Source organism: Homo sapiens, chromosome 8 (assembly GCF_000001405.40).
Source record: "Homo sapiens chromosome 8, GRCh38.p14 Primary Assembly".
Lineage (NCBI taxonomy): Eukaryota > Metazoa > Chordata > Mammalia > Primates > Hominidae > Homo > Homo sapiens.
The window spans coordinates 5,165,632-5,179,067 of NC_000008.11; the positions used below are offsets into that span (position 1 = coordinate 5,165,632).

The 13,436-nt window shown below is 41.1% G+C and overlaps 3 annotated features.

Annotated features, from left to right (window-relative positions):
* Positions 3,902 to 4,764: an enhancer, noted in NCBI's record as "OCT4-NANOG-H3K27ac-H3K4me1 hESC enhancer chr8:5027055-5027917 (GRCh37/hg19 assembly coordinates)". NCBI's record gives its function as "activates a minimal SCP1, AML or CMV promoter by ChIP-STARR-seq in primed H9 embryonic stem cells {active_cell/tissue: H9 hESC(primed)}" and the evidence as "EXISTENCE:reporter gene assay evidence [ECO:0000049][PMID:30033119]".
* Positions 3,902 to 4,770: a biological region, named in NCBI's record as "Sharpr-MPRA regulatory region 617".
* Positions 4,476 to 4,770: a silencer, noted in NCBI's record as "tiled region #617; K562 Repressive non-DNase unmatched - State 24:Quies". NCBI's record gives its function as "represses a minimal TATA promoter and a strong SV40 promoter by Sharpr-MPRA in K562 cells {active_cell/tissue: K562}" and the evidence as "EXISTENCE:reporter gene assay evidence [ECO:0000049][PMID:27701403]".

Sequence of the window (13,436 nt, forward strand, 5' to 3'; positions counted from 1 at the left end):
TGTTTTAACTATAAACTAAGTTCCTCTCAAAGTTAGTTAAGCCTATGCCCAGGAAAGAATAAAGACGGCTTGGAGGTTAGAAGCAAGATGGAGTTGGTTACGTCAGATCTCTTTCACTGTCTCATAATTTTGCAATGGCGGTTTCACTTTGAGAAGTGATGTAAAAGTTCTGAGAGTGACCGATGCAGTTAGCCCTCTTCTTTTCTCCTGTGACTGGCCGCATTTTCATTTTATGAAGCCACATGCACACAGATCACCTGCAACTCTATCCCTGCCTTCTTTAGTCTTTTACGTTTCAGGCCTTTATTGAGAACTGTGAATCACAAATGGACTGAGGCAGGTCTCAATCTCTAGAGGTTTATTTAGCCTAGGTTGAGGATACGGCCAGAAAACATACAAGCCGCAAGAGCATCTGTGAGCTGCGCTTTTTCCAAAGTGGGTTTTGGAAGCTTCAGTATTTAAAGGGGGAAAGAGCAAGCAGGAGAGGAAAAAAAATGATGGAGGGAGGGGAGGGAGGGGAGGCAGTGAGGCAGATGGTTACATTCTTCTGAGGCTCTGATTAGCCTCAGTGAAGCTACATTTTACATGTGAAAAGAGTGAATAGAGGGAAAAGTCAATTGTGCATTGTCTTGCATTCAGTAAATCTACATTTTACATAAGATCAATTAACATGCGAAAAGAGGGAGTAGAGGAAATGAGGCTATGACACAGGGTTGTGAAACACCAGCTGTCTGTTTGGGAACAAAAGAAAAAGCAGTTTTTGTGTGACTCAGTTCCCAAGCTGAACTTTCCCTTTAGCATAGTGAGTTTGGGGTCCCAAGGTTCTATTTTCTTCCACAGAACATAGAATAATAATAGACAGAAATTGTTGTTCATTTTCTCTTTACCTCTCTTGGCCCCCTTTCACCCACCCATTATTTTAGAGGCTTAGTGGATGATCACCTTGCACCTCTTCATTCAAATTAGAAACTCAGCGTCTTTTTCCTACTTTACGTGGCATAATCAACTACTCAGCACTTCTCACACAATCTTTCTCCAAAAAGCTCCAGAAAGCCTCCTGTCAACTCATTCCTTCTGGGATCACCTTGTTTGAGTGTCCATCTTCTATTTGGGCCTGCAGTCTCTCTTCCACGATGCTGTGGGAATCACCAACTTTCAAGGATGTTCCCAGGACCACAGTCCTCACACCTTGGGATCACACCATACTCACCTTCCCGCCCTCCTCTCCTCCCCTCCTCACTTCTGCACAACCACCGTCCTGCCCCACCAGGGTCATTCACAGCAGCCTGACAGGCCAGATGTTTCCAGATCTCTAATATTCATGATCGCTCATCCGAGACTGTTTGCCTCAAATCTCAATGGGATATTCTTTATCCTTCAAAGATCTTCCATACACTCTTCTCAAAATCAACTGATATAGAAGGGCTGGGCTCCGGCCTAAACCCCACCCTTGAACCCGTGCCTAGAACCCGTGGCCCTAAGTGAAAACCGCTAACCCCAGTTTTCTGCCCAAATGTTGCCTTTTCGGCCTTCCATGCCCCTATCCTGTGCCCGTAAAAAGACTTCAGCTGGTAGAGCAACACAAGGGGCTGAGCATCAGGGATACAAGTGACTGCAGAGAAGCAACTGAGCATCGGAGACCACAGGTAAACATGGCTAACTTCAGGTTGTGCAGCTTCAAAGAGGGGCTTGGCTGTAGACAGCTGTGCTTCAGGGAAGATCACTTTCTTCCCACACCATCACTTTTCTAACTTTACATCCCTCAGAGAGCCACTTCCGTCGCCCAATAAAATCCACTGCCTACACTACCCTTCAATTTGTTCATGTGATCTGATTCTTCTTGGATACCAGACAAGAACCCCAGTGCCAAAAGGGCAGGGGCTGCCACCCTGAGCCTCCACTGAGCTGGTTGGCACTTGGTCATCCCTAGGTGGCAGAGCTGAAAGAAAGTACTGGTTGTAATGCACTTGGATGCTGCTGTGGGGCCCACACAGAGCCTGCTCCCACCAGAGAGGAGTGACCAGATGGCTCCAACATTCCTTTGCTCTGGTTTTCACACTCACTTGCTTACACTCTCCCTCTTGCGAGGAGTGGCCAGCGGTAGGTTGAGTGAAGCGAACAACTCCAGTTCCTGCCCACGAAGGGGGTTAAGGGAATTATCCTATCTCACAACTTTGTAGACTGAATCAGTCTTTCCTCTGTTAGAGGATAATGCAAGAATCCTCATCCTTACAATCCTTGACATCTTGTATCTAATGACTGATCTACATGACTGTTTCTCTTCCCATACAGTGAGCTTCTCAAGGGAACAAGTACAGACCCCACTCCTCCTCCACCAGCATCCTCACATTGCATTTGGCACTTGGAAGACACTCAGATGTCTGCTTAAAAAAAGGAATACATGGGCTGGGTGTGGTGGCTCATGCCTGTAATCCCAGCACTTTGGGAGGCCGAGGCGGGTGGATCACAAGGTCAGGAGGTCGAGACCATCATGGCCAATATGGTGAAACTCCGTCTCTGCTAAAAATACAAAAATTATCTGGGCATGGTGGCAGGCATTTGTAGTCCCAGCTGCTAGGGAGGCTGAGGCAGGAGAATCGCTTGAACTTGGGAAGTGGAGGTTGGAGTGAGCCAAGATTATGCCACTGCACTCCAACCTGGGCTACAGAGCCAGAATCCACTTCAAAAAAAAGAAAAAAAAAAGGAATAGATGAACACTTGACTAAAAATAGTTTATGATGTAATCTTTATTCTCCATATGACTTTCATAAGACAGGGGAGAGAGCACACCACTAGATTTTTGAGAAACGTGCATGTATTTGGTCATGCCACAAATGATTAATTTGAAGATCTTTACCATTACAGCAACATTTTGAATATTTCCATTTTTATCTGCTCTATGACCTAGACTTTTTAGCTGATAGACTGATGTGCTGTTGTGGCTATCCCAAATGCCAAAAAAAAAAAAAAAAAAAAAAAAAGATTGGTTTTTAAATGATAGAATCTGAAAAATTACATTTTTGAAATGCTTACTGAAATATTTTAAGTACATATTTTATGAAACGACATTTTTATTCGATCATACCATATTAATAAATAGGAATTTAATTTACCTGCAGCCCTAGATTTGAGAATTTTATTTTCCTATGGGGGCGTGAAAGTTACCAATATCAAAATGAAGTCATTAATGTGAAACTCTAACAAATTAGAGCCGGCCGACCATGCAGGAGGAGCCCTCTTACATGTGTATGTATGACGGGAACTATGTAAGGAATTCCTCAAAACTGCTGTGTTCCAGGTAAGGCACTTGCACAGTGGCACGTGCCTACAAATGCTATCTCCACCAATGAGCTAATGCTAACTCCTACAACAAGCTCCTGTAACCAAAGCTCTCTGTTTTATTTGGTTCTCGTTTTAAGTTGTACACATTTATGGGGCGCATGTGCAATTCTGTTCCATGCATAGATTGCGTAGTGGTCGAGTCAGGGCTTTTAGGGTATCCATCACCTGAATAATCTACATTGTACCCATTAACCAGTTCCAAGATCTTTGTTTCAAAAAAAGCTTACATGGACTTCTTGTCTTTCATAGATGCTCCTGTGCCCTACCCTCTCGAATGCCCTCATGGTCTGCCACAGCACTGGTATCCCAGATTGCAGTTCCTGAATAAGCTCTTTGCTTTGGAAAGTCAGTCTTTCTGTGGCTCATTTTAGGTTGACAGGAGCTCACAATAAACTTAATTTTGGTCCTTTGTAAAAGGAGACAAGTGAGTCTCCTGGCAGTCTAAAAGAATGTAGGTGAAGAAAACACGACTCACAGTCTGGGTCAACGTGTATCATAAGCAACAAAACCCCTACTTGTTTTTCTACAGGTGCAAGAGTATTTGAGTGTGAGCTACGACAAAGCATTCCATACACTGCCACTGTGGCTTTTAGAATTCATTCTGCAGTTTAAAAATTAATGGGGAATCTGGCAGTCTGAAAGGAGCAGAATAAAATCAAAGTCACTGCTCACTCAATGTTTAAAACTCAAGCAGTTGGAACAGTTTTCACACCTTTCTTATGTGCAGGCCAGCTGGGGAAATCCAGGAATCCACCCAACGTAAGTGAAATGGCATTTTCTGTGACTTACTTACTAGATACTTGTCACAGTGGGCCTAAAGCTTAATCACAGACTACAGGAAATGGTTTCCATCTGAGTCCTTTATTTTGCAAGAGATTCCCAGAAAATTGCTGAAGGATTCTCTTGTAAAAACTTACTTCCTGACGCTGGACACACTGTGTGTCCAGGACATCTTTGCAATGCCCATCATGGACATGGCTGGCCCTATTCCTTGTATAAAATGGACAGATTAACCTCAGGATAGAAGCAATAAAACTGAGATGTGCTTTCTGCATTTGTAAAAGTAGATAATGTAGTGGAGGAGAAATTGACACCTCTCCACCCTCCTAGGTTCTTTGGCTGAGCAACAAATTACATGAATACTAAGATTAATACGAGACAAATAATTTTAATTACATACTAAGCATGAGAGTCCCATAAACAGGAGACTCAAAGCAGTGCCAAATGGTTGAGCTTCCCGAGCGCTATGGAAAGGAATCAGGGCTTGTATCTGCATAACAAGAAAACCTCAGAGATGGTGGGGAGAAGTCACAGGAGGATGAGGGGAGGAAGGTATGGAGAACGGGGGTTTTCTTGTTATGCAGATAAAAGTCCTGCAGATGAGAAAGGCTGTCTTAGAGCAGCTTTCTTCCTGGTGTGGGCACGTTTGCTAACGAACATTTCCTTTTTTATACCTTATTTTCTGCAGTGGAGAAGGATGTGAGGAGCTTTCCCTGTGTTGGCTCGTTCTCAAATTCTTCAAAGTAATCAATATGCTAGGGTGGTACGTTGAGGGGTGATGTATTCTGGTCTCCTGTAGTCCTGTTTTTGGGTTTATGCCCTAAACCCTAATAATAATAAGGCTGACAATACATTTTGTACCATGGGAAAGGTGAACATTTGATGTGACCGACCTCCCTCCAATTTGGTTCCCATTGGTTGCTGTGGTAATCCATCCTGAGAAACTGGCTCCCCTGATTCCTGGACGATGGTGCTGGTGAGGGTGCCTTGGTGATGGTGGCACTAGGAGTGGGTTGGCAGTGACAGCTACTCACTGTTCCTAAATATTTATTAAGAATCCAAACTGCACTGGGCCCTTCATGAGCAGGAACAATTTTAGTCCACTCAGCTGTGGTATGAGCTCAGTATTTTTGTTTTCATCATTGAGAAAGATTCATCCCAACTAATTCCAGATACCATTTTCTTTCCAATGTTCGTCTGATTTCACATTTATTCATCACTTACCCCTGACATTTAACTAAAGCCCAGTATGAGAGGTTAGACAATTCAAGCAAAATCACACTTACTTGTCACATCCAGCTTATCTCCAAGAAGACTGAAAATCTTCCCCACTTCTTGTCACTGTCCTCATTAGTAAGAGGAAATATACAACATCTGAAAAACAACACTGTATGAAGTCCAGTAATATATCTTTACAGTGTACTAAGAAAGGAAAAGAATGAATATACAAAGGGAATATGTAAAAGCAAGAATTTCGCTTTTCTAAAATGCTCTCTTGAGTAGAGGAAAGCAGTGTCTACTCTCATTGTGTGGCCGTGTTTGCATTTTTCGTCTTCATCTCTCAGTTTTATAGTTTAGCGACGGAATCGTGTCCTATAATTAGCATTAACTTAGGGACGGGATAACCTTCAGTGCTCCAAATATTGTTCTGCAATTTCTGTAAATGGTAAGATGTCTTGCAAATGTTTAAGGTTCATGGTTCAGAAATACTATTTAGTACCCCAGACATGTATTTACTCATAAACATGCCTGCACGTAAGATCATATTTCCAGGGCTCACAGGACTGATGTGGCTTTTCAATTTATATAGGAACAGTGACTGAAATCCTCTTAATTAAATGCCAGATAGAAGACCAGAATATCTAGGTAGCTATTTTAATTTCATTTCAGACAAAATGCCACAAAGTTTCAAACCGTAACATTTTCAACTCCAGATCAGGCAGGGAAACTGCCAGCTTCTTGGTGACAAAGAGTGCTCCTGCCAGCTTTCTGGTTTGTCTCCGGAACCAGATTCAGGGGCAACTTTGCATTTGACAAAATTCCCGAATTCCTTCGGGCTGTTGTGTGGGTGAATACTCTGACAACCTGAGACACCCATTTCCATGTGATGGATTTTCAAAGTTAAGCCTTCTATGAAAAGAATGATAATCAATTTCTTGTCAATTAATTTAGAGAGTATGGCATAAGATAATATGGTACATTTTGGAAAGGCTATTTTTAGACTAGTATGCCTCTCACTGAAAGGGAGGGGCTTTTTTTTTTTTTAAGTATGAGCAAACTGTTACTGCTTCTGTTATCAAATCAAGCTACTTAATTTAGAAAATGACCCTCTAAGACGACAGAAACTAACGTAAGAAACAAAGCCAAACAAACGCAAGAACAATCGGCATCATATGTCTCTTTTAGGATAAACAGCTTAATGAATAGCACAGCAAACGAATTCAGAAAGACCATGTATGCCAAACAGTGCCAGCCAGCACTGCGGGCAGCACAGATCAGTGAAAAGAAGCAGGAAAAGAAACAGAGAATCGGAGCCAGGGAGATCTGGGTTCAACGCTTCAGTCCCTGTTCCAACACTTACTAACTAGGTGATTTTGAACGAGTAATTTAACTTTTTCATACATCAGTTCCCTCATGTGTTAAGTAATATACCATCATTAGCTTTCTATTCTGACAGTGGGAATTAAATTACTGTTCAAATTCTCTGGCTCATTCTCTCCTGTCACTAAACCTGGTCATTTCCATAATATGTACAAATAACTCGCTAACTTAAGTAAGCAGCAAAGGGGACTGGAATTGTTTTTATCTCATGTCGTAGCTGAACTGATGCCTCACAGACCAACACACTTTGGAAATGAAATTATTTTCTGGGAGACAGCAGTGAGGTTCATTCTTTCAAAAGGGTTTTGGATGCATACAATTGTTGAGGCTCAGAACACGACACCCCGAAGGACGATGCCTTGGCGTTGCTGCACACCATAAGCTGAAGGAGACTGGAAAGGCTGCAGAGCACGGTCTCCCGGGCCTTCCCCGTCCTGTCGTCTCTCTCTCCTCCTTCTACCCACAAAAGAGAGGTAGAAACCAGAACTTCTCTTTCTCAAGGTGGGGGTTTTGCCGTTAAAAGTCATGGCCAAAACTGCAATTACTTTTGCAACAACCTAATATTAAACTTCTCTCCCCACAGCAAGCCGAAAAACCTAGAAAGATCCCTCTCTCCCTTCTCCCTCCAGACACTCATTCCAGAGGAGTCTTGCCGCCTACTCAGAGGTGGGTGAAGAATGCTATGGAGAGAGGCCAAGAAGGATCTGGAGTGGGCTTGCTGAGTTTCTGCTCAATCTATTATCATTAGCTAATAACCTTTTCTCCAACGTTAGATTTTAAGTTAGACTTTAACGTTTCTTCCTCGTGGCTGTCCTTTCTTCATCAAACCTAAACATGCAAATAGACAATTTTCCCTGGGTCTTTGGGTCTTTATTTCCAAAGGCTCCCATATCATTTAAAACTTGGATTAAATAAATGTGTTATGCTTTTCTCCGGTACACCTGCCTCTCTTTATAGGAGTGTCGGTCTTGAACCTTATGATGAGTGAGGAAAGGGAACTCTGTGGATCAAATTCATGTCTTGTTCACCTCAGTGTTCATACCCAGTACTTTGTATATCAGATGATTAGTAAATATATGAATTACAGTGACCTTGATAAGCTTGATATATTGTGGCTGTATTTATACTTCTACTAAAGAACTATTGTGGCCAAAGATATTTTCAGGATCCACCTAAAGGGGAATTGAGTTGAGAACACATTCATTCTGATTATGTGATTTGTAGTCATTTCTGTGAATAACTGATCCAAAATATAAACGGTTCCCAGCAATATTTTTCTAGTCTGTATTTGTAACTTACACTATTTTGATGAATTTTCAGGGCCCAAAGTTCAGTCTCTATATAAAAATGACCTGTAGTAACCTGGCATTGTAAATACAGAGGCAGTAGATAAAAAACAAAGTTCAAACTGTGTACGTCCAGCAGGTAGACATGGAAAACTCTTCCAGTTATTGGCTGTGTCACACATTTCTTTAATATACTTGCTGCCTCAGTAACCATTTTTAGTAACCATTTATTTTTCAAACATAAGTTGTTTGAAATCCAGTTGTAACCTGTCACCTTTGGTCTAGTTGAAACTTCCTTTCTCCATGTGGTTGGTGGAGACATCACCTACTTGTTCCTGAAACCACTACCCAAAGTCCACAAACACCCCTTAGCTGCTAACCATGATAAACACCTAATATTTAACACCAGACTCATGTCGGTAAGTTTCCCTCTTTGCTTGTTTTTGTTCAACTGAGCCAATCCACAGACCCCTTGAGAAAGGTGAAGATAACACCCACGGACCTTAGTTAAGACGCAGAGTTCCATGGGTCCTCTCTCTTCCCCTTGCTCCCCTCCCCACTGGCTGAGCTTCCCACAGCCTTCTGGATTTCCATTGCCCTCCCATCAGCACCAGTGATCTCCTAGGATCTAGAAGTCATCATGTTCTTCTATTTCATGCATTTGGGGTCCACCTTGTCCATTTGTCTCACCTCATACACACACACAAACCTAACTGCCCCCCGACCCCCTGGATCAGGCCTCTCCCAGAGGGTGGCTGTCTTGGCCCATGGACACTCTTGACACAGACCTCAGGACTGAAAGAGGAACCATAAAAATTACAATATGATGGGTTTAAAAAAATAGGCAGAATATCCAGTTCTAGTCAAAAGCAAAGTTGACTCCTGGATGGAAATATTTAGTAATTCAGTATACCCATGACGCATGCAGGTGGCTGATTGGATAACTAGCCCCATTCCTCCACAGCTCTCTGCACCCACACACTTGCTTTGCTCTCCTTACAGGTAAATCACCCTTCTCTGTTCCTCACTCTGCTCATCCTTGTGCCTTACTATGGCCAAAGGAATGAAGAAGGGATGTCGATATGCTGATGCAGGGTGTGAACCCTTCAGAGGCCACACGTGGCTCCACTCAGTTCTCTCTGCCGCGTCTGTGAGCGCAATATGCCCTGCTAAACTTACGGTCCAAAGAGAACAAGAACAGCATGCAGCAGAGACCCCAGGTGACCCACAGAACCTCAGTGACAAGCAGAGTTGCCCCAGCCATCTAGCGGAGCCTACCCAAGAGAGCCAAATGCCGGCTAGCCTGGAGATACATGGCAATGGACACTTTTTATCTAAACTTCTGAGTTTGGCATAGCTCTACCATGCAGTAGTAGTATGGCAGGAGCTAAACTACCAAATAACCACTCATTTTTTGATAGGAAGTAAATGATATACAATTTATCAGCATTGAAGTGTCTGAGAACAATCTCCTCGAACTAAGCGGTACTAGGTGTAACGTTGCACGTTTCATGCACCTAAGCTTCTATAAGACATTTTGACCAGTAATAATAGAGGCTAAATAATCTTTCCAGTTTTCTAAACACAATACAACAAAATCAATCCTATGTGTACACTTAACAGAGACTGTAACAATATGGAAAAAAATATTATTAGCGTGCACCAGGAATTTTATTTTATTTATATTTGTGTGTGTATTTTATTTATGGAAGTGTCAACTTCTTCACATTTACATTTTTTTGAGATTTTTAAGTGCTTTAATGAGGTGTAATTGCCATAAAATAAACTGCACAGGTTTGAAGTGCATAATTGGTAGGTTTTGATGTGTGTATACACCTGTGAAACCGTCACTGCAATCCAAATACTGAACCTATCCATCACGTCAAAGTTTCCTCACATGTCTTTGCTGCCTGGACTTGCATTCTTGCCTGTCCGTGACCCCACAGTTAGCAACCACTGTCTGCTTTCATGATAGGTTAGCTCGTACCTTCTACATTTTTATACAGAGTAATCCACCTGGTTTGTTTGTACAGCTTGTTCTAACGAGCATGCCTATTTTGACATTCATCCCTCTTCCTGTAGCCCTGCTTCCTTTCTTTTTCATCTTAGTCATGCTCCATTCACTCACCTTTTGATGAACATTTGGGTTTTTTCCAGCCTTTGTGTGTTACGAATAAAACTACTGTGCACATTTGTGGACAAGTCTTTAAATGGGGACATGCTTTTATTTGTCTTGGGTAAACACCTGAGAGTGAAATAAACGGGGATATGGCAAATGTCTAACTTTTTAAGAAATGCATGATCTGTTTTCCAAAATGATGGTATAATTTTACATTCCTATCAACATTGTAGGAAAGTTCTAGCTCCCACACATCCCTGTCCACATCTGGCATGAGCAGTCTTTTTTTTCTTTATTCATTCTATTCCTATTCTTCTTTTGTTTTGTTTGAGACAGAATCTGGCTTTGTCACCCAGGCTGGAGTGCAGTGGCTCAACCTCTGCTCACTGCAACCTATGCTTCCCGGGTTGAAGCAATGCTCCTACCTCAGCCTCCTGAGTAGCTGGGACTACAGGCTCGTGCCACCACGCCCGGCTATCTGTACTTATTCTAATAGGTGGGTAGTGGTTCTAATTGTGATTTTATTGATTCTATTTATTCTAATAGGTAGGTAGTGGTTTCTCATTGTGATTTGAATTTGCATTAACCATAAATGACTAAAAGTTGACTACGTTTCATTAACTAAATTACTATCTAGATATCATCTTAGATGAAGTGTCTGTTGCAATGTTTCGATCATTGTTATATAGAGTGGTTTTTAAATTGAGTTTTGATCATGCTTTATATATTTTGGATAAAAGTTCTTTATCAGGTATTTGATTCTCAAGCATTTCCTGTCAGTCCTTGGTTTGCCTTTTCAATTCCCAGAAGTGTCTTATTAAGAGCAGAAATTTTAATTTTGATAAAGTTCAAAGTATCGATTTGCTCTTTTAGGGATTCTTCTTTTGGTGTTGTATCTATAAAATTTTTTTTCTAAACGGTAGTCACAAAGTTTTTCTTCTGTTTTCTTCTAGAAGTTTCATAGTTTACATCGGATATATTTTGAGTTAGTGTTTATATGTGCTATGAGGGATGGAGTTAAGGGTATATTTCTTTCCTTTTGTATCTTAGAATGATTTATTTATTTATTTATTTTACAAAATGACTATTAAATTTTTATTAAAAATCATTTGGCCATATACATGTAAGTGTTTATCTAGAATCATCGTTTTTTTTTTGTTGTTGTTGTTGTTTGCTTTTATGTTTTTGGCTTTTTTTTTTTTTTTTTTTTGAGACAAAGTCTCACTCTGTCACCAGGCTGGAGCTGGAGTGCAGTGGCGCGATCTCGGCTCACTTCAACATCCACCTCCTGGGTTCAAGTGATCCTCCTGCCTCAGCCTCCTGAGTAGCTGGGACTACAGGCATGCACCACCACGCCCAGCTAAGTTTTGTATTTTTCGTAGAGACTGGGTTTCACCATGTTGGCCATGATGATCTCCATCTCTTGACCTTTTGATCCATCTGCCTCAGCCTCCCAAAGTGTTGGGAGTACAGGCGTGAGCCACCACGCCTGGCCATCATTGTTTTATTCTAATTATATGTTTGTTCATCTTGGTGCTAATACTAACCTGTTAGATTATTATAGCTTTATAATAAGTCTGACAGTCAGATAGTGTAAGTCTTCCAACTTTGTTCCCATTTCTATTTGACTCCTTTCTATTTATTTCAAATGTACGGTTGAACACTATTTTCATTACTAAAAAGAACATTTTATGGATTGTCTGTTTATATTATACTCTTTGAACCATCTCTCTATCTGCTTACCCATGTGCACTTAAAGAACCTCTTTTAGCATTGATCCCTAGGGAAAGGTAATTCAAGTATTTCTATAATCATTTACTACTACTCTTGAACTCCTGACCTCAAGTGATCCTCCTGCCCTGGCTTCCCAAAGTGCTGGGATTACAGGCATGAGCCATTGCACCCAGCCCAACTTTGAGTTTTCTTGTGATAAAATTTCTAAGAAATGAAAAATCAAAATAGAAAAAAAAAAGGAAAATTCATTTACTAGTCCTATAATATATTTAAATTTTCTATTTCCAAAATTAAAGAGTTTGCAAAGAGTATGTTGACATCAAAGTATACATCAATATAGGTAGGCCAGTTCTTATCATCTCATTTCTGCAAGAGAAAGTAAAGTGCAGAGAAGTGACTTTCTCAATGTCACATGTTCTCTGATTCCTAGACCCCAAAAAATGGGTATATATGTAGGTAAATTTAGGAAGTCAGCATAAATGTACCAGAATCAGATTTGCTAAAGTAACTTTAGAAAGATGGCATTTTAAGGGTCAGTGATGTGGCTCCAATACGTCCTCTAAATTTCAAGTGTTGGAAACTTATTCCTCAAATGTATATGTTGATTGGAGCTGAGTCCTTTGGGAGGAAATAGGACTAGATAAGGTCATCAGGTGGGACCTCCACGAGGGGACTAGTATCTTTAGAAGAAGATCAATGGGGACCTGGGCTGATGTGCACGCTCTTGCCCTGACGCCATGTCCATCGACTTCCTGTTCTCCAAAGCTGTGAGCCACATAAACTACTTTTCCTTACAAGTTTCCGAGTCTCAGAAATTCTTTCATATCAGTAGAAAACAATGGACAAAGACAAAAAATTTGCACCCAGAGCAAGGTTGTTATAACAATTACCTAAAATTGTGGAAGCAGCTTTGTAACTGGATAATGTGCAGGAGCAGGCTAGAACAAGCCTAGAATGCTGCAAATGGAGTGTGAAGGGCAATTCTCATGGCTCAGAAGAAAAGATATGGGAAAGTCTGCAACTACTTACAAATCACTTAAGTGGTTGTGATCAGAATGCTGGCAGAAATAAGGAGTAAAGATGATTATGATGAGGCCTCGGATGAGCATGAGGAAGGAGGTGTTGGAAACTAAAGGTCATCCTTGTTATATCATAGCAAAAAACACGGCTGAATTATCCCCATGCCCTAAAGTTTCATAAAATGCAGAAATTAAAAACAATAAACTAGGATACTAGGTAGAAGAAATCGCTAAGGAGCAAAACTTAGAGTGGCTGCATGGCTACTTTTAACTGCTTACCGTAAAATATGAGAGAAGAGAGATGATTTAAAGACAGAATTTTTAATTAAAAATGTAGCAGATCTGAAAGATTTGGAAAATTCACAGCTTGGCCATTTGGTAAAGAATGAAAAAACATATTAAGGAGAGGAAACCAAGGGTGTATCCCAGAAACTGTTTGCTAAAGGGTTTAGTGCTAATAGAAGGGATTATCAAGACAATGGCAAAAAGACTTAGAAGGGATTTCAGAGATCTTTGAGAGTTCCTTCTTAGGCCCAGAGCTCTAGAAGGTCAGAA